General features: G+C 49.0%; 1 pseudogene across 1 annotated transcript in view; it reads right to left on the bottom strand.

Moving 5' to 3' along the window:
- EP400P1 (EP400 pseudogene 1) overlaps positions 1-27370 on the bottom strand; it is a 42058-nt pseudogene that overhangs the window by 3364 nt on the left and 11324 nt on the right. The window contains exons 4-8 of the transcript NR_003290.2: positions 14295-14405; positions 8432-8519; positions 2376-2557; positions 1398-1537; positions 997-1052 (exon numbers count right to left, since the gene is read on the bottom strand). The product of NR_003290.2 is annotated as an EP400 pseudogene 1 (transcript). The remainder of the gene's footprint in view (positions 1-996; positions 1053-1397; positions 1538-2375; positions 2558-8431; positions 8520-14294; positions 14406-27370) is intronic.

Raw genomic sequence — 27370 nt, 5'->3', positions numbered from 1 at the left:
CCCAGCCCTTTGGGAGGGTGAGACGGGCAGATCACCTGAGATCAGGAGCTCAAGACCAGCCTGGCCAACATGGTGAAACCCCGTCTCTACTAAAAATACAAAAAATTAGTTGGATCTGGTGGCTCATGCCCGTAGTCCCAGCTACCGAGGAGGCTAAGGCAGGAGAATCGCTTGAACCCAGGAGGCGGAGGCTGCGGTGAGCCGAGATCACACTGTGGTACTCTAAAGCCTGGGTGACAGAACAAGACTCTGTCTCCAAAAATAAAAAAAGTGAACATTCAGAAACTCATGATTGTAAATAATATGGCTTATTTATATTATAGGTACATAGTCCCTTATCCAAAATCCTTAGGGCCACACAGGGTTTGGAATTCAGACTGTTTCAGAGAAGTAAGGTAATGACATAAGTCAAATAAGCATGGGAAAGTGTTAGGGACGGCATCTGGCAGCCATGACCAAACACGCCGACGTTTCCACAGCAATAGCACCCAGACACACTCACCCACCAGGACCGCGGGGCTGGCCTGGCCTCGGTGTGGGTCAGGTTTGCTGCAAAATGAGTGAGCAACACTGAGTGGGCAAAACCTTTCTGCTGTCTGAGCTTTCAGAGTTTTAGAACTGCAGATAAAGGGTATGAACCCAAGGGACGCTGTCCTACTGATCAGACATGGCGTAACCTGCCCCATCACAGGACACAGAGGACAGTCGAGGTGCCCGGTCCCCACACGGCAAAGCCAAAAGGCAGTTTGGGCGGAAAAACCAAAGGCAAGACCACACGTTTCTGTTTTGATTTGAAGTCATCCTGAGAAAATTCGATTTTGAAATTGACCCTTTCTGGGTGGTCCCAAAGATCGTGAGTAGATCTGTCCTCTCTGGAGGGAGACCAGAGGGAAATGCTGAGGAGACTGGAGACCGGAGCCCCCCGGCAAGGACACGGGCACCCTGAAGCCCCTCACCCGGAACATGAAGTTCTGATATCACAAAGAAAACACTCACCACGTGGCTTTTATTTTCCAGTGGAGCACTTGCTTCCAAGATGCTGGAATCTTTACCTACAAAGGCATAATTCATAATGTTTTCAGGGCTTCAGCCTCATTATGCCATGTCACAAAGCACAGGAGCATAACAATGAATTCTCACAGTTCACCTTGGCAGTGGGCTATAACATGACGACTCTTTGAATAAGTACACTATATTAACTTACTTGGTTACCTCTTTTTGAATATTTATTCAAATTTAATGTCTTTTTTTGTTTCTCTTGAAATTCAATTTGCAGCTTTATTTCTACTATCTAAAAGATAATCTACGATCTAAAAGAAAATCATGAATTAAAATATAAAATCATTAGCTCCCGAGTGAAAACTTGAGGGCAAATTGTAGAGGAAACGTGTGTTTACCTGCGCAGTACTAGACCAGGGACGCTCGATTTCTCTGGTAGTACAGGTGACGTCTGCCTCAGCCTGCTCGGCTCCTCCCTCCTGGCCCCGGCCTCCCTGCGCGTCCTGTCCTGCAGCTGCCGGGCCACAGCTCTGACCATCTGAAGACAATCGCCACATTGTCTGTGAGGGTCTCCACGCACACAGTAATATGGAAACATCTTGTTTTTTACTAGATATACATATTTAATTCTGGAGAATTCCAAAGAAAGTCTATTTTTCCATTTTTAGTATCCATTCATGATACTGCTTCAAGCAACAATTCTAATAATATTCAATAATAAAAAGTAAAATGAATATTCCCCTAGAAAATATCCCTTTACTGTCAGTCAAAGACACTTATGTTAATGGGCAATAAAGTCCAGATGAAACATGAACCACAATTATCACAGCGCTTTCTATGCAAACATAATTCGAGATAATCCTTCTCAATTTAGACGGTGCCATGGCCAGACATGAAATGCCAGTTGGTATGAAATTGTCCACATGGCCGGGGGTGGTGGGTCATGCCTGTAATCCCAGCACTTTGGGAGGCCGAGGCAGATGGATCACTTTGAGGTCAGAAGTTCGAGATCAGCCTGGCCAACATGGCAAAACCCCATCTCTACTAAAAATACAAAAAATTAGCTGGGCATGGTGGCAGGTGCCGGTAATCCTCACTACTCAGGAGGCTGAGGCAGGAGAGTCCATTTAACCTGGGAGGCGGAAGTTGTAGTGAGCCGAGATTGAGCCACTGAACTCCAGCTTGAGTGACAGAGTGAGACTCCGTCTCAAAAAAAAAAAAAAAGACTTACAGTCAGGTAAAGTCTTAGAGTTAGTGATGAAAACTCAAACATTAAATTGGCCATATTAAATTTAGAAATTTTCTTTTACATAATATAATTACTTCTTCAATTCTCTTTCACGATGTGATTTCCACAAAGTACTATTCCAACCCACCTTCTTCACAGAGGCCACCTTCCACCTCTCCTGGGCAAAGTCTGTGGCCATCCACTGCATCTCCTCCAGCAGATAGTCCCAGTGGGACTTGGGTCGTGGGCCTCCTGCAGCTTCAGCAGACGCCTCTGGGACCACAGACCTGCTTTCCTCAGCTCCGCAATGCGCTGATGCACCTGGTTCTCCTGAAAGACAGGAGCAGCCCATCAACTGTGAAGACAGAGACTCCAGCCCCTTTGTCACAGGCTCAGATGAAGGACCTGAATGAGGGAAGGCGGTTTCCCGGCGGTCCCCAGTACAGCCCACACTGGGTGCTGGTGGGGGAACCTGCAGTTCCCAGATGCTGTGCACACACCCCAGATGCCCCCTGCTCTAGAATCTGAGTAGGCTGGTGCCAAAGAATCACTAGAGAAGCAGCCATGGCCAGTTTTTCAGATGCCTTTACCGTCTGCCATATTATATTGAGAAACATTTCAACTTCTAATTTAAACAGCTTGTAGCAAAAGCAACTTCTTTCACAGATAACTGAGCTCTCTCACCAGCTTCATCTGCTCTGCAATCTTGTCCTAAGGGCTCTCTATGGCCATAGGGCCTGGTGGGGGATGGGGCGGGGCAGGTGGTGCTGTACTCTGGGCTCTGGACGCCATGGCCACAGCCACACCTGCAAGTCTGAATGCACCTGGAGAGGCAGCTTTGTGACTTGCTGGGGGGGTGCTGCTTGTCTGCATGGAGCCGATGGAAAGGGGTGCTGCTGGCCGGGCGCGGTGGCTCACACCTGTAATCCCAGCACTTTGGGAGGCTGAGGTGGGCGGATCACGAGGTCAGAAGATAGAGACCATTCTGGCTAACACGGTGAAACCCCGTCTCTATACAAAAAAAATTAGCCAGGCGTGGTGGCGGGTGCCTGTAGTCCCAGCTACTCGGGAGGCTGAGGCAGGAGAATGGTGTGAACCCGGGAGGCCGAGCTTGCAGTGAGCCGAGATCGCGCCACTGCACTCCAGCCTGGGCGACAGAGCGAGACTCCGTCTAACAAAAAAAAAAAAAAAAAAAGAAAAGAAAAAAAAGAAAGAGGTGCTCCCCGCAGGAGCCGAGGGCAGACGAGGTGACAGAGGCAGAGTGTTTGCAATAACTGGTTACCCTCAAGGGCAGCAAGCAACCCGTCATTAACGCATTCGGTTCTCAATTCCACTAAAACCTTTACCCGGAACGCTGACTTACGGCCCTCACCATTTCATCAGAAGTGCTTAGTAGGGGAAAAACATTGAACAAGTTAGACCTAGTCCTTTACACTCACTGGAAACACAGATTCCTGGGGAAGCACAGACCACCGAGAATATTCTGGTACTGCAGCCCATGTGGGTCAGGACTCATCCCGTGCCCGGGTTTGGAGGGCAGCCCCTTTGGGTACCTGGGATGGTGCCGCAGGCAGAGGCTGGCGGGCCTGGGGAGCTGCCTGCTCCTGGGTGGGGAGGTGGAGCGCAAGCTAAACAGCCTGCCTGGTGGCGAGCGCCGGCCTGGCAGGAAAGGTGGCGGCGCTGCGATTGGCTGCTGGGTCCTTCCCTGGACTGAGAGCTGTGCTTGTGGCTCTGTCGCCTGCTGCTGGGAGACCTGCAAAGACGCTGCAGCGCGGACCCCGGCTGGGGCAGCCTCCCGGCGTGTGCAAGCTGGAGGCGTTCTGCACGGGAGGCCCCGTGGAGGGGTCGTACTGCTGCTGCCTCTGCCTCTGCCTCTGCCCAGCGAGCTGCGCGGCGTGCGGCGTGGGGGGCATTCCTCCCGCAAACGCAAAGAAAGTCAAGCCCAGCTCTCCCAGTATCTGACAGCAAAACAGAGACGCGACCTTAAGAAATTAGGGAGCCCACTGCTCCCCAAACCGAATAATGTCCCAGGTGTCCATTGACAGATGATGCGTAAAGAGAATAAGGCCTTAGCGAGGAAGGAAATCCTGCCACGTGCCACCGCGTGTATGAGCCCCGAGGACCTTCCGCTGAGTGACACGAGCCAGGCACAGAGGGGCAGGCAGATCCTGTCTGTCCCACTGACATGGGGTCCCTAGAGCACTCAAAGCCATGGGGACAGCAAGCGGAGCGGGGCTGCCCAGGGGAGGGGCGGGGCATCCGTGTTTCACGGGGGCAGCGTTTCTGTTTGGGAGGGTGGAAATCTTCTGTAGGTGGACGCAGGTGACAGCTGCACAGCAACGTGAACGTGCTTCATGCCACTGAGCTGTGGCTTCAAATGGTAAAACAAAAGCCAACCGGAAGAACTCCAAGGAGTAACGTTTGAATCGTTATTATTATTTTCGAAATAAGGGCTCGCCCCGTCACCCAGGCTGGCATGCAGTGGAGCAATCACAGCCTTGTCTCTGCAGCCTTGACCCCTGCGCTCAAAGCGATCCTTGTGCCTCAGCCTCCCGAGTAGCTGGGATCACAGGCGTGCGCCATCACGCCCGGCTAATTTTTGTATGTTTTGTAGAGACGGGATTTCTGCATGTTGGCCAGGCTGGTCTCAAACTCCTGACCTCAGGTGATCCGCCCACCTCGGCCTCCCAAAGTGCTGGGATTCCAGGCTGAGCCGCCGCAACCTTCAAGCACAGGTTTTAAAAAAATCATTTTTACAGTAGTTGTTCCAGTCCTAAACATAGCCAATATAAAAGATTTGATTTTACATTTTACAACCAAAAAAGATGGAAATCTCTAGAATCTAGGCAGTGGCTAAACTATCAATTTGGCCCCATCATTCCTTTTCAGGCCCATGGTCCTGAAGGGACCTCCTTCCTCCTACTCGACAGAACTCTCAGCAGCAGATGAGGGCGGCCAATGCCACGGCCTGTGATTGGAGGGTGCCAGCCTCTGGCTGCCCTGTGATTGGAGGGCGCCAGCCCCTGGCTGCTCTGTGATTGGAGGGCGTTGGCCTGTGACTGGAGGGTGCCCGCCTCTGTGCTGGCCTTTGATTGGAGGGCGCCGGCCTGTGACTGGAGGGCGCCCTGCCCTGCGCTGGCCTGTGACTGGAGGGTGCCCTCCCCTGTGCTGGACTGTGATTGGAGGGTGACTGCCTCTAGCTGCCCTGTGATTGGAGGGCGTCAGCCTGTGACTGGAGGGCGCCCTCCCCTGCGCTGGCCTGTGACTGGAGGGTGCCAGCCTCTGCACTGCCCTGTGATTGGAGGGCTCCCGCCTCTGGGCGCGCTTTTCCTCCTCTGGTGATCTGCAACCGCACAACTCGCCTCACAGCCCCCACGCTGGGAGAAGGCGATGGCCGTGCCCTCTGCTCCGGGGGCTCCGTGCTCCTGGATGGTGACTCCCCAGGCCCGGCCCACCTGCCCGCCCCGCAGCTGCAACGCTCCTGGCTCACACCCTGCCCAGCAGCTGCAGCCTGAAGGCCTCGACGACCACCTGCCTCGGGGCGTGCACGTGGCGCAGCCTCTGCCACCAACCCTCCTCAGGCGGGCGCGGTCAGCAGCGCCCACTCTGTTCTAGCAGCAGCGCAGCTTCTCCACCTCAGCACCATCTGCGAGGGACTCCGCCTTGAGGACACGGGACCACCTTCCCTGACCACCTCCTGTCCCGAGGGCAGAGAGGAGCGCAGGGCACGCCAGGCCCTGCCTTCCCCAGCGAGGCACAGACACAGGCGACCTGACGGGAGTGGGCGCTCTGAGGACCAGGGAGAGCAAACATGACGGCGCAGGGCGGGCGCCGGGGCGGCAAAGGCCTCTCCAAGGTGGGCCGTGGAGCCAAGACCTGAATAAAGAGAAGGGAGCAGTCGGGAGCCGGTCCGGGCAAAGGCAGGGGGTGGCGGTCACGCATCTCTGCGTACTCGGGCCTCGCCACTCGCCAGTCTCTGTAAATATCTGCTGAAGGAGCGCATCGATGTGACTTATCATCATGGACCGGTTTCCCGGGTCTCTAGGCACACACTGATGCGCACGTACGTATGCATATCCTAGTACCGGTATTTGCTGGTGTGTTTTCCTTGAAAACTACGGTGTACTCTATAAGCAATGCAAACTTGCAAAAATTAAAGAAAGACAAAAAACAGTAGATGCTGGCGAGGACGTGGAGAACAGGGAACACTGCACACTGTTGGGGGGAGTGTAAATTAGCATAGCCTCTATGGAAAATAGAATGGAGGTTCCTCCGAAAACTAAAAATACAACTACCGTCCAATCCAGTAGTCCCACTCCTGGGTGTGTATCCAGAGGGAAATAAATCATTCTCTTGAAGTCATACCTGCGCTCGCATGTTTACTGCAACACAGTTCACAACAGCAAAGACACGGAATCAACCTAAGTGCCCATCAACAGACAGTTGGATAAGAAGATGTGGTGCATATATACACAATGGAATACTGTCCAGCCATAAAAAAGAATGAAACTGTCCTTTGCAGCAACATGGATGCAAACAGAGGCCATCATCCTAAGCGAAACAACTCGGACACAGAAAGACAAACACCGCACATTCTCACCCGTAAGCGGGAGCTAACTCACACGTCCACACAGATGTGTGGAATGAGAGACACTGGAAACTTGGAAGGGTACAGGGTGAGGGGAGGGTAGATGCTCAGTGGGTGTGATTACATTATTCCCATAACGGCTGCACTGAAAGCCCAGACTTTGCCACCACGAAGTATGTCCATGCAACAAAACTGCTCCTGTACCCCATAAGTTTATAGCGAAAAAGTTGGATATGTTAAAAAAAATTAAAGCTTGCCATTAAATCTATAGAATATTAATTTTTTAGTGTGGTATTAACTGACACGTGCTTACAACATGGTGCTGTGCTCAGCGCCTTACAGACGTAACAGTGTTAGTCCCCAGAACACACTTGAGAAGTGTAATTATCGCTGTTGCTCCCATTTTACAGATGAGACAACTGAGAGGGGTGAGGTGACACCACATTGGCCACATCCCCAGAGCCAGCGAGGGCACGGCTGACCACACTGCAGCCCGCACTCCAAGCGTCACAGCACGGGCCCCACAGAGCAAACAACAGTGCATGTGAAGACAGCCTGAGATCATCATAGAGAAAAAGAGAATGCTTCTACTTGGAAAAAGTTAGGAAAATACATGAAAACTCTTGATAGTTTGGTTTTTAATCACCTGTAGGGGAAACTGTGAGTCTGCACAGACACCACCAGCCTGTGCCCAGGTCTGGGTCAATAAACAGATGCAAGGGCCCACTCTGCCCAGGAACAATCAACAGATGACAGAGTGTGCGGTAGCTTCAAAGCCTCAGAGCTCAGAGCTTCAGAGCTGTTGGCTCCCGGCTCCCACAGCCTACTCCTGGACTAGTACCTGCCAGGTTCTTCGGCACACAGATGCTTTGTGCTGTTGGCATTAACTGCTGGAGAGGAACACCTGATGTCACCTCCAGGTGCTGTAAACCCATCCCAGGATGGCCCACTTGTAGGTGAGGCCTCTGACATCAAAGGAGAATCTGTGACATCAAATCCAATCACAGCACAGTGAGCCAGGTTCCACCTTCAAAGTTCATGCTACACTGTCCCTGGTGCAGAACACGGAAATAGCACAGAACGCACTGCGGGCAGGACATCCTCTCTCTGATCCTCACCAGGAAGGGAGGCAGTCTCAGGCCTGGGTGGGACCAAGCTCTTGAGGCACCCATCTTGCTTTGCTCTGAGTCCATGCCCACTGCCAAGTGGCCTGTTCCCAGGGATCCTGCTGTCAAGGGGGGTGGCTGGACAGTGAGTTCGGGGACACTCACATGCCAGATTCTGATGTGCCTGGCCGGCATGGGGAAGCTCCTGGGCACAGAGCTGAGGCCCAGGCCCTGCCACTACATGAGTGCCCGTGGCCTCCCCAGGCCCGCTCCCATGCCTCCAGCTCAAGGCACTAAGTGGCCAAAATGATGGCTGAGTGTAAAGTCACTTCGCTCCAAGCAAGAACTGAGAGGAGGCACAGGGGTGACCCCGTGAGCCCACAGAAGCCATTTGGTAGCTATTTGTTGACTTACTTAAAATGAAAAAAGTTGGAAAATACACTGCTAGAAGGCCTGCATGGTTTCCTTTTTGTTTGCAGGCTGGCTTCATGCTGGGTGACTGCTACATACCTGTGGGCGCCAGTGTTCACTGCCTCTTAGATGCTTCCATTTTTATGGAATTCACATCTCCAGGTACTGGAGTCCCCATATGTATTTGCTATTAGGAGACAAAAATTATGGGAAGTAGAAATGTGTGTTAATTTATATCACACTGATTTTAAAATAAGTATTTCTCCACTGTCTCTTCAATTTCTATGACAAAGAACATGATATCACAGCTTAGAGCTATTGGCCAGTGATCATAAATAAACTCAAAAAACCCTCCATATTAGCCTTTGAATTTGACAGAAAGGAACAAAAATAATCTTTTCATCGTTTAGTACTTTTCTGTGTACCACTTGCTAAAGGCAGCACAACAGAACCAGGCTTCAGAAGTAGTTTGTAGATAAGAAATCTAAGTCACAACTGCTAACCAAAAGCGGAAGCCAGAATTAAAACACCAGAGGTATCCATGTGAAAACTAAATCTAGAGCTTAGAAAAATAGTTGTATAAACTAAGGCAAAAATGACAATGTCAAAGTATTTGTGGAAAGAAATAAAACTCTAAGTCTATAATATGTCTTCACCAAAAAACAGAAGGCTTATGTGGATTTGACAACAGACAAAATCTTAGTAACTGGAGAATAATGTGAAAAGAAAAATGTCTAAACGTTTACTGAGTAGAAAGCAGACTTAGGTTTTATAAAGTCCACCATACATGAAAATGGGTTGTACTCTCAACTCTAACTGAAATGAGGACAAAGCCACACAAGGCCCCTGCAGAGGTGTCCCACACACAAGCACTGGAGCTGCTCTAGGTATTGCTTTCCATCTGTTTGCTTGGGAGAAGTTGTAATAAACCTTTCCCCCAACAAGCGCAGACCCTCAGGCCTTGCCTCATCATCTGGGGGACTGCATCTGTGACAGTCACTTCCGGGACACATCTCCTGGCATGGGTCCTCAGGGACAGCCTCAGAATCAACTCCTCAGAGGGATCTGCAGCATCTGTAAATACACTGATTGCTATTTTTGGGATATTGGGATAGGAAATGTATATGTGTTGATCCTCAGGCATTATTATCATATAAAACAACATTTGTTTCAATATCCTTGTATATGAGCCCTTCCTCAAGCAAAATGTTAAGTTTCAGAGACCAAAATAGAATGGCGATTTGGCTGGGCGTGGTGGCTCATGTCTGTAATCCCAGCACTTCGAGAGGCCGAGGTGGGCAGATCACTTGAGCTCAGGAATTCGAGACCAGCATGGGCAACATGGTGAAATCCCATCTCTACAAAAAAAATACAAAAATTAGCTGGGTGTGGTGGTGCATGCTGATAGTACCAGCTACTCAGGAGGCTGAGGCAGAAGAATCATTTTGAGCCCGGAAGAGCAAAGTTGCAGTGAGCTGAGATCGTGCCACTGCACTCCAGCCTGGGAGACAGAGCAAGACCCTCTCTCAAAAAAAAAAAAAAAAAAAAAAAAGGAACAGAGATTCAGACAGGTTCACAATTAAAACCAGTGTGCACTATTACTTCAAAGACTGTCAGAATGCTGCAGCAGGCTGAGTTTCAGAAATACCAAAAAAGGCTGGAAAAGATGCTTAAACAAACAAAAAACCAGGCTGGACAACATTAATTTTTTTAAATAAAAAGCTGAAAATTTAGCTGGGCATGGTAGCTCACGCCTGTAACTCCAGCTAGTTGGGAGGATGAAGTGGGAGAATCGCTTAAGGCCAGGAGTTCTAGACCAGCCTGGGCAACATAATGAGATGCCATCTCAACTAAAAATTTTAAAAATTAGCTGAGCATGGTGGTGTGGTGCTTATAGTTACAGCTACTAGAGAGGCTGAGGTGGGAGGACTGCTTGAGCCCAGGAGATGGAGGTTGCAGTGAGCCAAGATCGCACTACTGCACTCCAACCTGGGTGACAGAGCAAGACCCTGTTTAAAACAACAACAACAACAACAACAAAACCAGTTTCGTTTCTTTTTTCTTTTCTTTTTTTTTTTTGAGACAAGAGTCTCGCTCTGTCGCCCAGGCTGGAGTGCAGTGGCATGATCTCGGCTCACTGCAACCTCCGCCTCCCAGGTTCAAGCCATTCTTCTGCTTCAGCCTCCCAAGTAGCTTGGATTACAGGTATCCACCATTTTTGTATTTTTAGTAGAGACGGGGGTTTCACCATGTTGGTCAGGCTGGTCTTGAACTCCTGACTTCAAGCAATCCACCTGCCCTGGCCTCCCAAAGTGCTGGGATTACAGGTGTGAGCCACCGCACCCAGCCCACTTTTCTTTCTTTACCTCATTTAAGATGTTAAAGGAAATTTGTTTTTTTGAGCCAATATGTTAACTCATCATGGAGATACGAGGCTGAGTCAGGCAGACGGCCAGGTTCATCCTCTTACTGAACAAGGGCAGGCCCTGCCCCACGACTGCTCTCCAGGGGCATCGGCACAGGGGTTTCAGCCCGGCATGGGGCGCTGCACACAGGGGTTTCAGCCTGGCGCAGGGCGCTGCACATGTGGCCTCGTGTAAAAGCTCAGTTTTTGGTTTCCACTCCCTACTGCTGGCCTCTCCTCAGCAGTCGTCCAGTTGTTTATCCTCTCCTGCTCTTCATACGGTGAACAACTGGAGGACTGCTAAGCCTCAGTCTGGGGCCAAGCTGAGCACATGACAGAGAGTGCCTCTGTCCAGAGTGTCCCCGGAGGGCACCCTCCCATGAGACGCACGGCACCCAGCCCACCTGCATCTGCATCTCCCTAACTGGCCTGCACGGCTTGGTTGAGAAGTAAATGCATGCAGAGGTCCGCCTCCATTGTATTCTTGCCAGAAATGTTCAGCCTAAGTCAGCAGTGAGAAACGGAACACCCAGGCTGTGATGGCCTCTGCAGAGCAACTGGCCTTCAAAACATCAGCGTCGGGAGAGAAAGAAAAGCAGACCCAGGCAGGAACATGCCTCGAGAGGTGTGGATGCCCGCGAGCGTGACCGGAGGGCTGTGGTCATGTGGGACATGCTCTTGTTGGGAGATACACAACAAAGGATCCAGGGGTAAACAAAAACAATCACGACTGTGACAACTTTAAAATGTGTGGAGATAGACAGACAGGTAGAACACATACATGCGGCAAACTATTAACAACTGGTGAGTTTACCACTCACTGTACTGCTCTTTCAACATTTTCAATAATTCAAATTTTTCACAATAAGAAATTGGAAAAAAGAGCCAGGCGTGGTGGCTCACACCTGTAATCCCAGCACTTTGGGAGGCTGAGGCGGGTGGATCACTTGAGGTCAGGTGTTCGAGACTAGCCTGGCCAACATGGTAAAACCCCCTCTCTGCTAAAAATATAAAAATTAGCCAGGCACGGTGGCACATACCTATAATCTCAGCTACTCAGGAGGCTGAGACATGAGAATTGCTTGAACCCAGGAGGTGGAGATTGCAGTGAGCCGAGATCACACCACTACGCTACAGCATGGGTGAGAGAGGGAGACTCTGTCTCAAAAGAATATATAAATAAAGAAATTGGAGAAAAGAAAATTGACACTGCCCACAGCCAGTTTGTTTGGAGAATCACACTGAACTCAACCTGTGTTCTCAACATTAAGAACATGACATGAGAAGAGTAGGGTAGAGCAGCCCTGTGTTCTGTCTGGGTCCTTACGCTTGCTGGGGCCAGGCCAGAGGCGCCAGCCCTGCCGGCCACAGGTACAGCACACTGGGCCACCCCACAGCCTGCATCCTGCTCCCAGGAGCCCATGCATCCCTCCACACTCTTCCTGTGGGATTCTGCATATGTCACCAATGCCATTTGCTACTCTGAGTTAAAGTTGTTTTTTCAAATGCTGTCTCCCTCACTAGTCAATTTTGAACCATCAACAGTGCCAGCTGATTAACAGATTAAAACTCTAAATGTCCTTTTTTTTTTTTTTCTGAGATGGAGTCTCGCTCTTGTTGCCCAGGCTGGAGTGCAGTGGCGCAATCTCGGCTCACTGCAACCTCCGCCTCCTGGGTTCAAGTGAGTCTCCTGCCTCAGCCTCCCAAGTAGCTGGGATTACAGGTGCCCGCCACCAAGCCCGGCTAATCTTTGCATTTTTAGTAGAGATGGGGTTTCACCATGTTGGCCAGGCTGATCTCAAACTCCTGACATCAGGTGATCTGCCTGCCTCGGCCTCCCAAAGTGCTGAGATTACAGGTGTGAGCCACCGTGCCCGGCCAACTCTGAATGTCTTTAGCCATATGTACATGCATAGTCAGTAATATTTTTCTATTACATTATAAAGCATACAGCACACCTATTAGGGTGGCCACTATTAAAAAAATGTACAAGCGTTGACAAGGATGTGGAGAAAGAAAACCCTCGTTCTTGCTGGTGGGATGGAAAATGGTGCAGCTACTATGAAAATGGCATGGACTTTCCTAAACAGTTAAACACAGAGTTAGTGCGTGACCCAGCACTTCCACTCTGGGTATATGCCCAAGAGAACTGAAAGCAGGACCTTGAAGAGATATCTGTACGCCCGTCTTCAGGGCAGCACTGTTCACAGCAGCTGAAATGTGGAAGCAACCCAAGTGTCCACCAAGAGATGGATCAACACATGCAGTCCACCCATCCCGTGGCGTGTGACTCAGCCTTCAAAAGGAAGGAAATTCTGTTACAGGCTACAATGTGGATGCACTCCGAAGACATGATGCTGAGTACAACAACAGACAGAAAAGGACAAATACTGTATGATTCCACTTACTTAGGTCGCTGGAGAAGTGCATTCCAATCCGCAGAGACAGACAGTACAGTGGTGGGTGCCAGGGGCTGGGGGAGGGGGAATGGGGAGTTAGCATTTCATAGGGGCAGAGTTTCAGTCTGAGAAGATGAAAATGTTCTGGAGATGGATGCTGGTGATGGCCACACAGCAATGTGAATGTGCTTCATGCCACGGAACTGTACACTTAAAAATGGGTAAAATGGGAACTCTTATGTATATTTTAACCTAATTTTTAAAACATGTTTTTAAGTATATAGAAATGTTGACTGGGCGCAGTGGCTCACACCTATAATCCCAGCACTTTGGGAGGCTGAGGTGGGGGATCACCTGAGGTCAGGAGTTCGAGACCAGCCTGGGCAACATGGTGAAACCCCATCTCTACTAAATACAAAAAAATTAGCCGGGTATGGTGGCACGTGCCTGTAATCCCTGCTACTCGGGAGGCTGATGCAGGAGAACTGCTTGAACCCAGGAGGTGGAGGTTGCGGTGAGCTGAGATTGTGCCACTGCACTCCAGCCTGGGCAACAGAGCAGGATTCCATCAAAAGGAAAGAAAGATAGGAAGGAAGAAGGGAAGAGAGGAGAGGAGAGGGGAGGGGAGGGGCGGGGAGGGGAGAGGAGAGGAGAGGAGAGATAACTGAGTTGCAGTTTCCAGGAACTTCCTTGTATTCTGAAATCTGAAATCATTGTTTTTTGCTACTCATCCCCTAGAATATGTTTAAAGAACAAAATCAACTCCCTATAGCAAGAAAACAATTTAGAAAATCTGTTTGTTTAAAAGCAGACAAAGGGGGAAAAAAAAGAGAAACATCCAAAGAGGCCACAATCGTACAGAAGCAATGAAAACTGCAAATATATCAGAAAAGCAAATGCAAATGAAAAACATTCCAGCAGAAAAGTTAACAGAACTAATGATCAGAGACAAACACTTTTTAATTTCAGTAACAGTAGGGAAAAATAACAGCATCCATGCATTAAAACTAAGAGCCTTCACAAAGACGTTTCAAGATGTATTTTGAACAAAAGAGGACAGGCTCTTGGGACCCCTCTGGGTCCTGCCTCAGCACATCGAGTCCTCAAATCCGAGTGAGGAAAGTCTGGGGAGCTGCACTGTGGAGCCATCAGAAAGTACCTGGAGCGGCTGCTGCTGGGCTGGAAAAGCCGCAGAAGTCCTCGGCGGTAGCTGGGTTGCTATGGCAACAGGAGTCCCAGGCTGCCCGTGCTTTCTGGCCACAACCTTTACCTGAGAGGGAATATTCAAAGGGAAGGGAGGAAGAAGGGAAAATAATGTTTAAGCTTTGCAAAGTTGATCACCGCCTGCACATCCCATGCAGCTGGCGGCCTCAGCCACTAACAGAGGGGCACGGGGACACTTGGCTCGCTGATGCAATTTCAGGCCTCACAGGGCTGGAAAGAACAAATCTGGCCCTAGGCACTGAAGCTTTGTTTGAAGTCCAGTTGAAACCTCGATCTGTGGCCGGCAGGTAGCCATGGTCAGGCTACACAGGCCATGTCCACACAGCTTCGTGCAGGAGCCCAGGGGCAGTGTCAGAGGGTGGCCAACCCCTCACGGCAGGGGCTGCAGATGCCTGAGGAGGCCATGGTGGGGCATGGCATGGGGAAGAATGACAAAAAACACTCCCATTGAAAATGTGTCATTTCTTAAAAACACACTCTGATAAAACAGAAAGACAAATTAATCTGCATCTCCATAATGACAGCTTCTTAGAGTAAGCAAACCAAAGAAGCTTTCCAGATACATTAACTGCTTCAAGTCCAGGGTATTCAAATGGGAATACCCTGGAAATTAAATGAACTCAAAGTCAAATGGCACTTTACAGCTTGAAATCATAGAGAGAAATACAAGAAAATAGAAACCGGTTCTTACTTCTGGCTGACAGGTCTAAAAAAGAAAAAGGAAAAGAAAAAGAAACTGGTTCTTCTGGCTAAATATGTCCAGAAGGCTAAATATAAACAAGCACATATCATCATAAATAATCAAAACCAAACCTTAATATTTGTCAGTACCCTGGAATAAATTAACTTTAAAAATAATGAATCAGATAGACAGTAAATCTTATGTTTTGTATATGTTACCACAATTAAATGTTTTCTTTTTTTTTTTTTTTTTTTGAGACGGAGTCTCGCTCTGTCGCCCAGGCTGAAGTGCGGTGGCGCGACCTCGGCTCACTGCAAACTCCGCCTCCCGGGTTCCTGCCATTCTCCTGCCTCAGCCTCCCGAGTAGCCGGGACTACAGGTGCCCGCCACCACGCCCGGCTAATTTTTTGTATTTTCAGTAGAGACGGGGTTTCACCATGTTAGCCAAGACGGTCTCGATCTCCTGACCTCATGATCCACCTGCCTCGGCCTCCCAAAGTGCTGGGATTACAGGCGTGAGCCACCGCGCCCGGCCCACAATTAAATGTTTTAAAGAAATCACATAGCGGCTGGGCATGGTGGCTCACGCCTGTAATCTCAACGCTTTGGGAGGCCGAGGCAGGTGGATCACGAGGTCAGCACCAATTCCCCAAGTAAAAAAGCCATAGGCAAATGTAGCTAATTAGTTTAAATAATTTGGATGAATTCTATAGTTACTAGCCCCCAAATATTTTGTAGCTCTAATGAAGTTTGGTAACAGGGATCATGTTACAGAGTCAACACAACGAGCAGCTGGAAGATGAGCAATATTACACAGAGGAAAATATTCACGAAAAACCCAAATGTTAGTCAACTTCCGGTATTTTCCTATAAAATGATGATAAAACATAGATTCCGAAGACGCTAGTCAGGTTCTATAAAAACTTATTTCTATCATTTAGAAGTAAACTTTAATACAACGATGAACTTACTCTTCATGTGACTATGGAAGCTGTTACACTGCTTATCTGCAGTATTTCTTAACTGAATGCCATAATGACCTTTCTAAGGAGACCTTCAGCTGATCCCACAAGACCTGAAGGCTGCGGCACCTCCGCTGTGGCGTGCTTCAAGACGCTTCCATGAAGATAGTCTCCTCAACCTATGAATACCTTACGGGCAAGTTTCCTAGTTTCCACACATAGTAAATGTTTAAAATAATTGCTTTCTAATTTTATTTCATTATAGGGAGAGGACAGTTCATATGAAATTAATTTTATAAATTTTATTGAGGATCCCCTTGGGGGTCAATTTACAAATAGTCTCCATGTATACTCTAAAAAAATTATTCTTTGTTGAAAGTTTTTACACACACATACATATACATGTGTGTTATACACTTAAACAGGCTAATTTGTGTTAATTTGAATAGTTCATGTTCTACACTTATAATTATTTATTGTCTTCTAAGAAAAAAGCTAGTAACTCCTCATATAATTGTGGATTTAAAAACTGCTCCCTAGGAGGCCAAGGTGGATAGATCACAAGGTCAGGATTTCGAGACCAGCCTGGCCAACATAGTGAAACCCCGTCTCTACTAAAGATACAAAAAATTAGCTGGGCGTGGTGGCGGGTGCCTGTAATCCCAGCTACTTGGGAGGCTGAAGCAGAAGAATTGCTTGAACCAGGGAGGTGGAGGTTGCAGTGAGCCGAGATCATGCCACTGCACTCCAGCCTGGGCAACAGTGCGAGACTCCGTCTCAAAAGCAAAAAACAAAACAAAACAAAACAAAAAAAACCTGCTCCCTTGAAATTCTCTAAATAGGCTACACATAGTGGCTCATGCCTGTCATCCCAGCACTTTGGGAGGCTGAGGCGGGCTGATCACTTGAGGCCAGGAGTTCAAGACCAGCCTGGCCAACATGGTGAAACCCTGTCTCTACTAAAAATACAAAAACATTAGCCGGGCGTGGTGGCACATGCCTGTAATCCTAGCTACTCGGGAGGCTGAGGCACGAGAATTGCTTGAATCCGGGAGGCGTAGGTTGCAGTGAGTGAGCTGAGATCGCACCACTGCACTCCAGCCTAGGCGACAGAGCAAGACTTTGTCACAAAAAAAAAAGAAAGAAAGAAAGAAAGAAAATGAAATTCTATAAATTTTTGCTCTGTATATTCTAAGTTAGAGCTGTAACTTGTTCAGAAACTCTTGACATTGAGATGTGTGTTCAGGAACTTGGAATCTTGGCTTTGAGACCAGCCAGCCCTGACTGCAGGCAGCTGGCAAGGGTGGACTCTGGGGTTCTCATCTTGCACGGCACAACCGTTTAGGAGCAGGCAAATGTGGTGGCATTCCAAGAAAGGTGCCAGGACGCTGCCGCCGTGAGCACCTGCCACAGAGGTGCCTGACTGAACACCACTGGAGTTTCCATGCTGCTGGGGGTTCAGCCATGTGCTGGGATCCCTGGAACCACCCTCTGTAAATGTGGGGAGACTCTGAGGGACTTTAAACCACTATTCACAGCCACAGTGTGTCTTTAAAGTGAAGTGCCTAGAACGCATGCTCTGAGATGGTAAGCTCTGCGTTGCACCTGCACGCAGCATAAGCCCTGAGCTCTGCCTCCCATGACAAGCACCAAAACAAAGAACTGTTACCTCATCATTAATGACTTCAAAGTGCTCCTCTTCCTCTTCTTCAATGTCCAAATCATTCTGCCTAAGATATGCTTGTAATGGTCCATACAGTCTCTCCTTGAAAGCTAAGAAATCCATCATGTTCCCTTGAAAGTGTTGCAAGAAAAACAGTTCAATCAAATACTCCTTGAAGACCTCCTTCAGAGCCTGCATCTCCTGGTGATGATAGTCCAGGCACTGCTTCCTCATCTGTGCCATCTCCGGAGAGGCTGGGGGAATCTCCTCTAACTTCTTGGGAACCTTCTTCATTCCCGTGTTCCCCACAGACGTGAGTGGGAGGCTGGAAAGGCCTGGGGGCACGGCAGTCCTGGAAGGGCTGGTGGGCGGGGGTGGGGACGTCATCCCAAACCCCGCTGCGCCCCCAGCCCCGGGGAGCAGCACGCCGGGCGTCCTCTCGAAGCCCAGGGGCCGGGGCAGCGGCGGCCCCTGCAGCACCTGCTGCTGCTGAACCAGCTGGCCCTGGATGATGCTGCTGATCTGCGGTGGCAAGTTAGCCGTGGTGATGTGGCTTGGGCTGGCCAGGGGCTGCAGGCCGGCCCCACCCGCGGCTGCAGGGCTCTGGGGTCCCAGGTGGTGGATGGTGCCCCCTGACTGTGTGTGGGGCTGGGAGGGTCTCCGCTCTCGGACTGTGATGGGCGTACCCGGGTGCTGGAGCTGAACCTGGGCTCCCTGGGCGATCTGGGTGAGCCCTGACCCATCCTGAAACACAAAGTGTCCACCACTGGAGGGGCTCAAGCTGATCTGCCTCACCAGCACGCTGGCATCCACGAAGTCCCCTGTAGGGCTGCTGCTGCAGAGGCCCAGCCCAGGGCCAGGGGCACCTGCACGCACATTCTGCAAGGCCTGCCCCGGCCCCGGACTGGGCTGCGTGGGACTCTGGGTCTGGACCTGCTGGGACAAGGGGGACGTGACCTGAATGTATGATGGAGACCCATGCTCAAACCGCCGAGGCTGAGCGCTGAACTGGAAGCCTGGAGAGGTGGGGCTGGGGAGCGGCAGTGGGGCCAGCGTGACCTGTGGGCTTCCCTGGAGCCCAGGGCCCACGCCCTGCAGGTCAACATTCATGTTCTGCCCACCCGCAGGGCCCCCTCTCACCATCAGCTGCTGTAGTTGGTGGCTGGGGGATGGCAGTGTGAGGGGCAGGGACGGCTGGGAGCACGCTGGCTGCTCCTCGCCCGCGCCGGGGCAGGCCCCAGGCCACTGGACATGGCGCTGGCTGCTCTGGGAGCTGCTGACGTGCTGCATGACTACGTCTTCAGGAAATGCTCCCTAAACAAATGCAGAAAAGTTAGAGTTGAGTGAGGTGAGCTCCATGCCCGGGCGCCTTTCGGAGCCTGCACAGGTGTCTGGAAAGGTGGCTCAGGAGGGGCCAATGCGGGCCCAGCAAACCCCAGGCACGAGACTGCTACCCAGGGCAAAAAAGGCTCAGATCAGAATATCTGCTCAGCAAGAGATGCTCGGAAGCTTCCCTGCCTCACACTTTTCTCGAACTGAAGTATTCATACCTGCCTAATCCAAGTCTACCGCAAGGGGCTGAAAGTGCTAGCGATGAAGAGCATGGGAGGGGGAGAAGGGAGAGAAGTACAGCACAGCAGGGCATCCCCAGCGGGTGGCAGACGGTGGCTCAGGGTCACAAAGGTTCTCTACGCCCCTTACGTGATCTCATTTAGTTTTCACAGTCATGCCATGGGGTCACTCCTATTGATAGCCCATTTACACAGAGAGACACTGAGGCAGCGAGAAATGAGCTCCCTGGGCTGTAAGGTCCAGCTCTACAGGGCTTAGCGGGTGTTCTCCCCGTGTGCGGAGACGAGAGATTGTAAGAAATAAAGACACAAGACAAAAAAATAAAGAGAAAGCAGCTGTGCCCGGGGGACCACTACCATCAACACGCGGAGACCGGTAGTGGCCCCGAACGGCTGGGTGCGCTGATATTTATTGCATACAGGACGAGGGGGCAGGGTAAGGAGGGTGAATCTTCTAAGTGATTGACAAGGTGAAGCAAGTCACGTGATCACACGACAGGGGGCCCTTCCCTTTTAGGTAGCTGAAGCAGAGAGGGAAGGCAGCAAATGTCAGCGTTTTCTTCTATGCACTTATAAGAAAGATCAAAGACTTTAAGACTTCCACTATTTCTTCTTCTGCTATCTACTAAGAACTCCAAAGAGGAACCAGGAGTGCAGGAGGAGCATGAAAGTGGACAAGGAGTGTGACCATTGAAGCACCACAGGGAGGGGTTTAGGCCTCCGGATGACTGCGGGCAGGCCTGGAGAATATCCAGCCTCCCACAGGAAGCTGGTGGAGCAGAGTGTTCCCTGACTCCTCCAAGGAAAGGAGACTCCCTTCCACAGTCTGCTAAGTAACAGGTGCCTTCCCAGACACTGGCGTTACCGCTTGACCAAGGAGCCCTCAAGCGGCCCTTATGCGGGCATGACAGAGGGCTCACCTCTTGCCTTCTAGGTCACTTCTCACAATGTCGCTTCAGCACCTGACCCTATACCCGCAGGTTATTCCTAGGTTATATTAGTAATGCAACAGAGTAATATTAAAAGTTAATGATTAATAATGTTTATACTAATGATTGATAATTGTCCATGATCAGCTCTGTATCTGATTCGTATTATGACTATTCTTATTCTAACTATTTTCTTTATTATACTGAAACAGTTTGTGCCTTCAGTCTGTTGCCTCGGCACCTAGGTAATCCTTTGCCCACATCGGGCCAAGCTACGAAGTGGTGGAGCCATGGTCCAGCTCCAGGCACACGGGCTCCGAGGCCCATGGGCCTCACTATAGGCCAACACCGTGGACAGGTCCTGAGCCTGCCCCTGAATCTGGGACTTGGACACTATCAACCCCAGTGCTAAAACATCAGTTCCACGGATGTGATCCTGCATGAAGACTGAACACTTGATGGACGGTTTTCATCATTTAATCTGTCCTGAAGGACTCAGTGCATACTGCCTGGTAGAAAAAGGCAAAGGGAATCTGTTCAGAAGTAGTCATTCCAGAGACAGGCTGGAAACACGGGCACAGAGTGCACCTGAGGCACTCCAGGTGTGGCCTGACCCCGGCTGGGAGGAGAGTCCAGCTCCCACCTTCCTACCATGACAGTAGACCCCAACTGCCACGTGTTTTTTAATGAAGGACATGTATTACAGACAAATGCATTTTATGGACAGCTTAGACCTGATGTCTTTTCCATCATCACCTTCATAGAAATTCAAGGGAAACATTCAAAAAGCTGCAAAGATACCACCCACTACAGAAGCCGCCTCTCCTAACGCCTGATGCTCAGGGACACAGTAGACAGTGCTTACGTGAAAACGGTGCAAGCTCACATCCAGCACGAGGTGTGGCGAGCCAGGCAGGCACGAAGCGACGCTTGCCAGCAAAACCACTATAAAGAGTGCTTGATAAACACACTCTTTATGTTTGATTTTAAATGGAAAAATTCAAGATCCAAAATTATGTAATTTTAAAGATGTAATAAAAAGACTCAAAATGTGTCCACAGGTGGTGGTCTCTGGGTTAGGTGGATTATAATGATTTTTTCCCTTTTTATACTTTTTTATGCTTTCTAGATGTTCTCTAATTACTATGTGGCATTTTTATATCCACACGGAAAAAAAGGCATCTTTTTAAAAAGTGGTTTTCCTGGCTGGGCGCAGTGGCTCACACCTGTAATCCCAGCACTTTGGGAGGCCGAGGCAGGCGGATCATGAGGTCAAGAGATCAAGACCATCTGGCCAACATGGTGATGTTGGCCCGTCTCTACTAAAAATACAAAAAGTAGCTGGCATGGTGGCAGGTACCTGGAGTCCCAGCTACTCGGGTGGCTGAGGCAGGAGAATCACTTGAACCTGGGAGGTGGAGCTTGCAGTGAGCCGAGATCGTGCCACTGCACTCCAGCCTGGCGACAGAGCGAGACTCTGTCTCAAAAAAAAAAAAAAAAAAAGTGCTTTTGCTTACTAGTAAACTCTTCTTCCAGGTGTGCAAAGTTTGCACATGAGGGACTGTAATCTAGTAAAATAATAATTAGAAGGTGCATAGAAGATACAAGGCAAAAAACTATTTGTACATTATTTCTAACTCAGAACACCTTTTCCTACGGAAATGCAATGACTACAGTCTCTTTCTAAGATCAGATAGATCAGTGGCTCTGTACTTCGGAAGACTGTGCCCGCAGGGGACATCAGGCAATGTCTGGAGGCATTTTTGGTTGTCACAACTGATAAGGGTGGGAGAACTGCTGGCATTTGGTGGGTAGAGGCCTGGAGGTCTCTAACCATCCTACAACACACAGCACGGCCCCACCAGGAGGAATCTTCTGGCCCCAAATGTGAACCAGCTGAGGCTGAGAACCCAAGACTGAGGAGGTGGCCCTGTGGGGCTGACCCGCCACACCATCTGCACCGTGTGTCCAGGGCTGAGTGAGAGCATCTCCTTGCAGTCAGGCCACCCAAGCACACAAGGAGGCAGCCTGGCCCTCAGTGGCAGCCAGACTGACCCCGGCTCTTCAACTTATTGACCGGGAAGGGGCCACTGACACTCCTGAGAATCTGGTGAAAGCTGTGGACTGTTCTTACCAAACACACCTCACAGCCACAAGCTTTACATGTTTACACATAAGGGACTCTAAGAACCAGACCCTCAGTTGCCAGTAAGGGAATGAGGCCAAGGGAGCTAGTGTCTCCTCATGGGGCAGAAGGGCAGCTGGAGTCCCCCTGAGAAAGCCCAGCCTGGGCGGGCCGGCCGGCAGGACCAATGGTGGGCAAGAGTCCTAAGTGGACCACAGAAGGTCTGGGGTTAGCAGGCAGTGCCTGGGCTCTGGGGAGGCCAGATGAGGGGAACAGCGAGTCGGAGTGCACAGGAGCCTGTGCTTGTACCTGGGAGGAGGGGCCGGTCCTCTTCCATGACTGCTCCCCGTGACAGGACTCCCACCACAGCAACGCTCAGAAAGAGGACAGTGCACACGTCCCCTTCCCACAGCCCTAGTCAGAGCCTCCCGCCAGCCCTGATCACAACACAAAGGGCTGGCGGTGTCTCCGTGCCTGTGTGCCCTAGGCACACACACTGTCGTCTCCAGACACCGCTTTGGCCGCTGGTAGAGTCTGCATGAGGGCAGTCAACACACGGCCAAACTGGAACTCTCTGCCCCACCACAGGTTTCTGCAGTCTCCATGCAGCAGACATCCCTGGGAGCCCCCAGGCTGCTGGGCAGGGCTTCCTCCTCAGTTCAGATTCTCCTCCACAGACGGTGCTTTTCCTGAGGTGGAGTGCAGCAGAGGACCCTTCCTGTCACCCTACACTGACGCAGGCCTGGAACTAGAAAACGGGCTCAGAATACTCCGGGGGCACAACAGAGCTGCAGCAGGGAGAAGGAAGAGGAGCCCTCCCCGGGCCATGCAGGCAGGCCAGCAACAATCAGAACGCGTGCTGGAGGAGGCGAAGGCCAACCAGCAGTTCATCCGTATTCGTCGTATTAGAGTGAACTTAGTGTATTAGAGTGAATCCCAGCACTTTGGGAGGCTGAAGCAGGCGGATCACTTGAGGTCGGGAGTTTGAGACCAGCCTGGCCAACATGGCGAAACCCCATCTCTACTAAAAATACAAAAATTAGCCAGGCGTGGTGGCACACGCCTGTAATCCCAGCTACTTGGGAGGCTGAGGCAGGAGAATTGCTTGAACCCCTGGGAGGCGGAGGTTGTAGTGAACTGAGATCAGGCCACTGCACTCCAGCCTGAGTGACAGAGTGAGACTCTAGTCTAAAAAAAAAAAAAAAAGAAAGAAAAAAGACAAAGATTTTTCCAAATGTACAAAACTGAAAGAATTCACCACCAGCAGATGTGCAGTACAAGAAATGAAGGACATACTTTAGGAATAAGGAAAACAGATCCAAGGTGAAAATCTGGTTCTATATAGTAAACTTGGGAAGAAGAAAACTTCCTCGACCTGATAAAGAATCTCAGTGGCTACAACAGCTAATATGATACTCGATGGTAAAAGCCTGAAAGCTTTCCCTCTTAAGACAGAAACAAGGAAGGGATGTAATACAGTTTGGATCTGTGTCCCCACCAAACCTCATGTCGAATTGTGATCCCCAGTGTTGGAGGAAGGGCCAGATGGGAGGTGACTGGATCATGGGGGCAGTTTCTCATAGTGTTACACCATCCCCCTTGGTCGCAACAGTGAATTCTCATGAGATCTGGTCATTTTAAAAGTGTGTATCACCAGCCAGGCGTGGTGGCTCACGCCTGTAATCCCAGCAGTTTGGGAGGCCGAGGCAAGTGGATCACTTGAGGTCAGGAGTTCGAGACCAGCCTGGCCAACTTGGCAAAACCCCGTCTCTACTAAAAATACAAAATTAGCCAGGCGTGGTGGCGCACGCCTGTAATCCTAGCTACTCAGGAGGTTGAGACAGGAGAATCGCTTGAACCTGGGAGGCGGAGGTTGTAGTGAGCCAATATCACACCACTGCACTCCAGCCTGGGTGATGGAGTGAGACTCTGTCTAAAACAAAAAAAGTGTGCATCACCTCCCCTTCTCTCTCTTACTCCTGCTCTGGCCATATCGTGTTCACTCCCCCTTTGCCTTCTGCCAAGATTGTAAGTTCCTGAGGCCTCCCCAGAAGCCGAGCAGATGCCAGCATCATGCTTTCTGTACAGCCTGCAGAACCGTGAGCCAATTAAAACTGTTTTCTTTATAAATTACCCAGTCTCAGGTATTTCTTTATAGCGGTGTGAGAACGAACTGATACAGGACATCCTCTCTCAGTACTTGGACTCAACATGGAGATTGTAGCAGCACAGTCAGTCAAGAAAAAGAAATAAAACACAGACAGACTGTAAGGGAAAAAGATTAAAGCCCTTCATTCTCAGGCAAAATAATCATCTCTGAGAAAATCCTGCCAGGCACAATGGCTCACGCCTGCAATCCCAGCACTTTGGGAGGCCAAGGCAGAAGGATCACTTGAACCAAGGAATTCAAGACCAGCCTGGGAAACATAGTAAGACCCCATCTCCACAGAAAAAAAAAAATTAGCTGGGGGTGGTGGTATACACCTGTAGTCCCAGCTACTTGGGAGACTATAGTGGGAGGATCACTTGAGCCCAGGAGATAGAGGTTGCAGCGAGCTATAATTGTGCCACTGTACTTTAGCCTGGGAGACAGAGTAAGACCCTGTCTCAAAAAAAAATTATTTCAAAAAATATAAAATACTCAAGAATAAATCTGATAGATGTGCAAGACCTGTACATCAAAACCACAAAACACTGCAGAGAGAAAATTTTAAAGACATTAATAGTGCTCATGAATCAGAAGACTCAGTATTGTTAATATGTCAGTTCTCCCAAAATTGATCTAAAAATTGAATGTAATGTCAATCAAAACCCCAAGAGGCTTTTAACAGAAATTGAGAAGCAGATTTTAAAGTTCATAAGGAAATGCAAAGAACCTAGAAGAGCCAAAATTATGAAAAAGACAAAAAGATTTAGATTTCCTGACTTTAACGTGTATTATAAAGCCACAGCAATTAAGACAGCGTGGAAATGGAACAATCTTACAGAATGCCAGAAATAGATTCACATATACATGGTTAATAAATTTTCAACAGAGGCGAAGATCATAAAGTGGAGAAAGGATAATGTGTTCAAAAATGATGCTGAAACAGCTGGACATCCATATGCAAAAAAATGAACTCTCATCCATTATTTGTACAACAGACCAAAAAAATTTCAAAATGGATTGTAGACCTAAATGTGAAATCTAAAACCAGAAACTTCCTAGAAGGAAATATAGAAAAAACATCTTTGTGTGTGATCTTTGTAATTCTGGGTTAGGCAAAGACTTTTCAGATACAATAGCATGATTCATACAAGAAGAAACTGGTAAATTAGGCTTCATGAAAATTAAAACTTCTGCTCCTGAAAAGACACTGTTAAGATAACCACAGACTAGAAAATATTTTCAAATCACATATCTGATACAGAACTTCTATCTAGAATTCTCCAACTCAGGTTTTTTTTTTTTTATTTCACCAGGCAAAAGATGTCAACAAACACTGTCAAAGAAAAATGGATAGAAAATAAGCACATGAAAAGATGCTCAACTTCATTAGTGATTAGGGGAATGCAATTAAAACCACAGTGAGATGCTCCTACAGGCCTTCCTAAGATGGCTAAAGACCGATCATACCAAGTGCTGGCTGCTAAGGATGTGGAGAAACTGGAACCTATTCATATACTACTAGGGGGAATATAAAATGGTCCACACACTTTGGGAAACAGTTTGGCAATTTCTTAAAAAGGTAAACACCTGCCATACAATCCAGCCGTTCCACTCCTAGGTACTTACCTAGGAAAAGAGCCAGCATGTGTCCACACAAAGTCTTGTAAGTGCGTGTTCCTCCTAGGCTTATATGTGAGAGTCAAAAACTGGAAACAACCCGAATGTCCACTGACAGGTGAATGGATAAAAAAATTACGATCTATCCCTACACGGAATATATTTGGAATATCATTCAGCAATAAAAAGGAATGAACTGGTGATACATGCAAAAAGACGAATGAATCTTTAAAAAAAAGTTAAGTGAAAGAAGCCAGACACAAAAGAGGACACTGCTCCTAATTCCATTATAAGGAATTCTAGAAAAGGCAAATTACGTGACAGCAGATCAGCGCTTGCCTGGGGCTGGGCCTGAGGCGGGAAAGATGGCAAAGGGATGCAAGGGCCCCCTAGAGTGAGGAAAACACCCTAAAAGGCTGCTCTGCAACCACGTGGTGAATACTTACTAGGATTCAATGAAGAGTACACTTAAAGTGAGTGAATTTTATGGTAGGTAACTTATACCTAAATAAAGCTATTTTTAAAGTATAGTGGATAAATATGCATTTATATTTTTAATTGACTATTTTATCTATCTTTTTTCTATTTTTTTTTTAAAGGCTGGTGCCTGGACTGTTAGAAATGCAAAATGCTTGTTCCCCAGTGCCACAGAGAAATAGCACTCGAGCATCCATTTAATGTTCTCAGCAAGGCAGTTTTGACTTTTTGCATAAAGGGTGACCCTCGCAGGTGGAGCCATGGCAAGAGCATACCTGGACACGGGAGGGACAGGAGGTCTTATCCCTGAGGCAGGTAGTCCCTACTGCTGTGTCGTTCCCTTATTGGCTAGGGTTGGACCACACAGTCTAAGCTAATTCCGACTGGCTATTTTAAAAAGAGCAGGAGTACGAGCCAGAGTGGCGGGGTGAGCAGTTTGGTGGGAAGGACGGTTAGGAAGAGGTAACTAAAGGTGACTCCGGTCAAAGCAGGTGACCGAGATGAGTCAGGATGGAGCAGGTGACCAGGGGAACAGATGTGAACTAGTGATTAGGACTGGCGGGAAAGTTGTTTACTGAAACTAGAGGCAAGGGGGTGAAGAGAACCAGGAAGTTAAACTTTAAAATGGAGAATCAAAGAACAGGAAGCTGAACAGACTGACATACTGATTCTTTGAAGAGAAACTTGGGGTTCACTCTATTTAACAGAACTCTTTATTTCTAGGAATCAAGTGTGCTCAGAAAATCAAAGATGCAATGGAGAGTCTGAAAACTATGATTCTGTCTCACTGTTAGAACAGGATTGGTAGGGAGGATGAGGCTAACAGAATATAAACC

This window comes from Homo sapiens, chromosome 12 (genome assembly GCF_000001405.40).
Source record: "Homo sapiens chromosome 12, GRCh38.p14 Primary Assembly".
NCBI lineage: Eukaryota > Metazoa > Chordata > Mammalia > Primates > Hominidae > Homo > Homo sapiens.
This window is presented reverse-complemented; position numbering and strand designations above follow the sequence as displayed.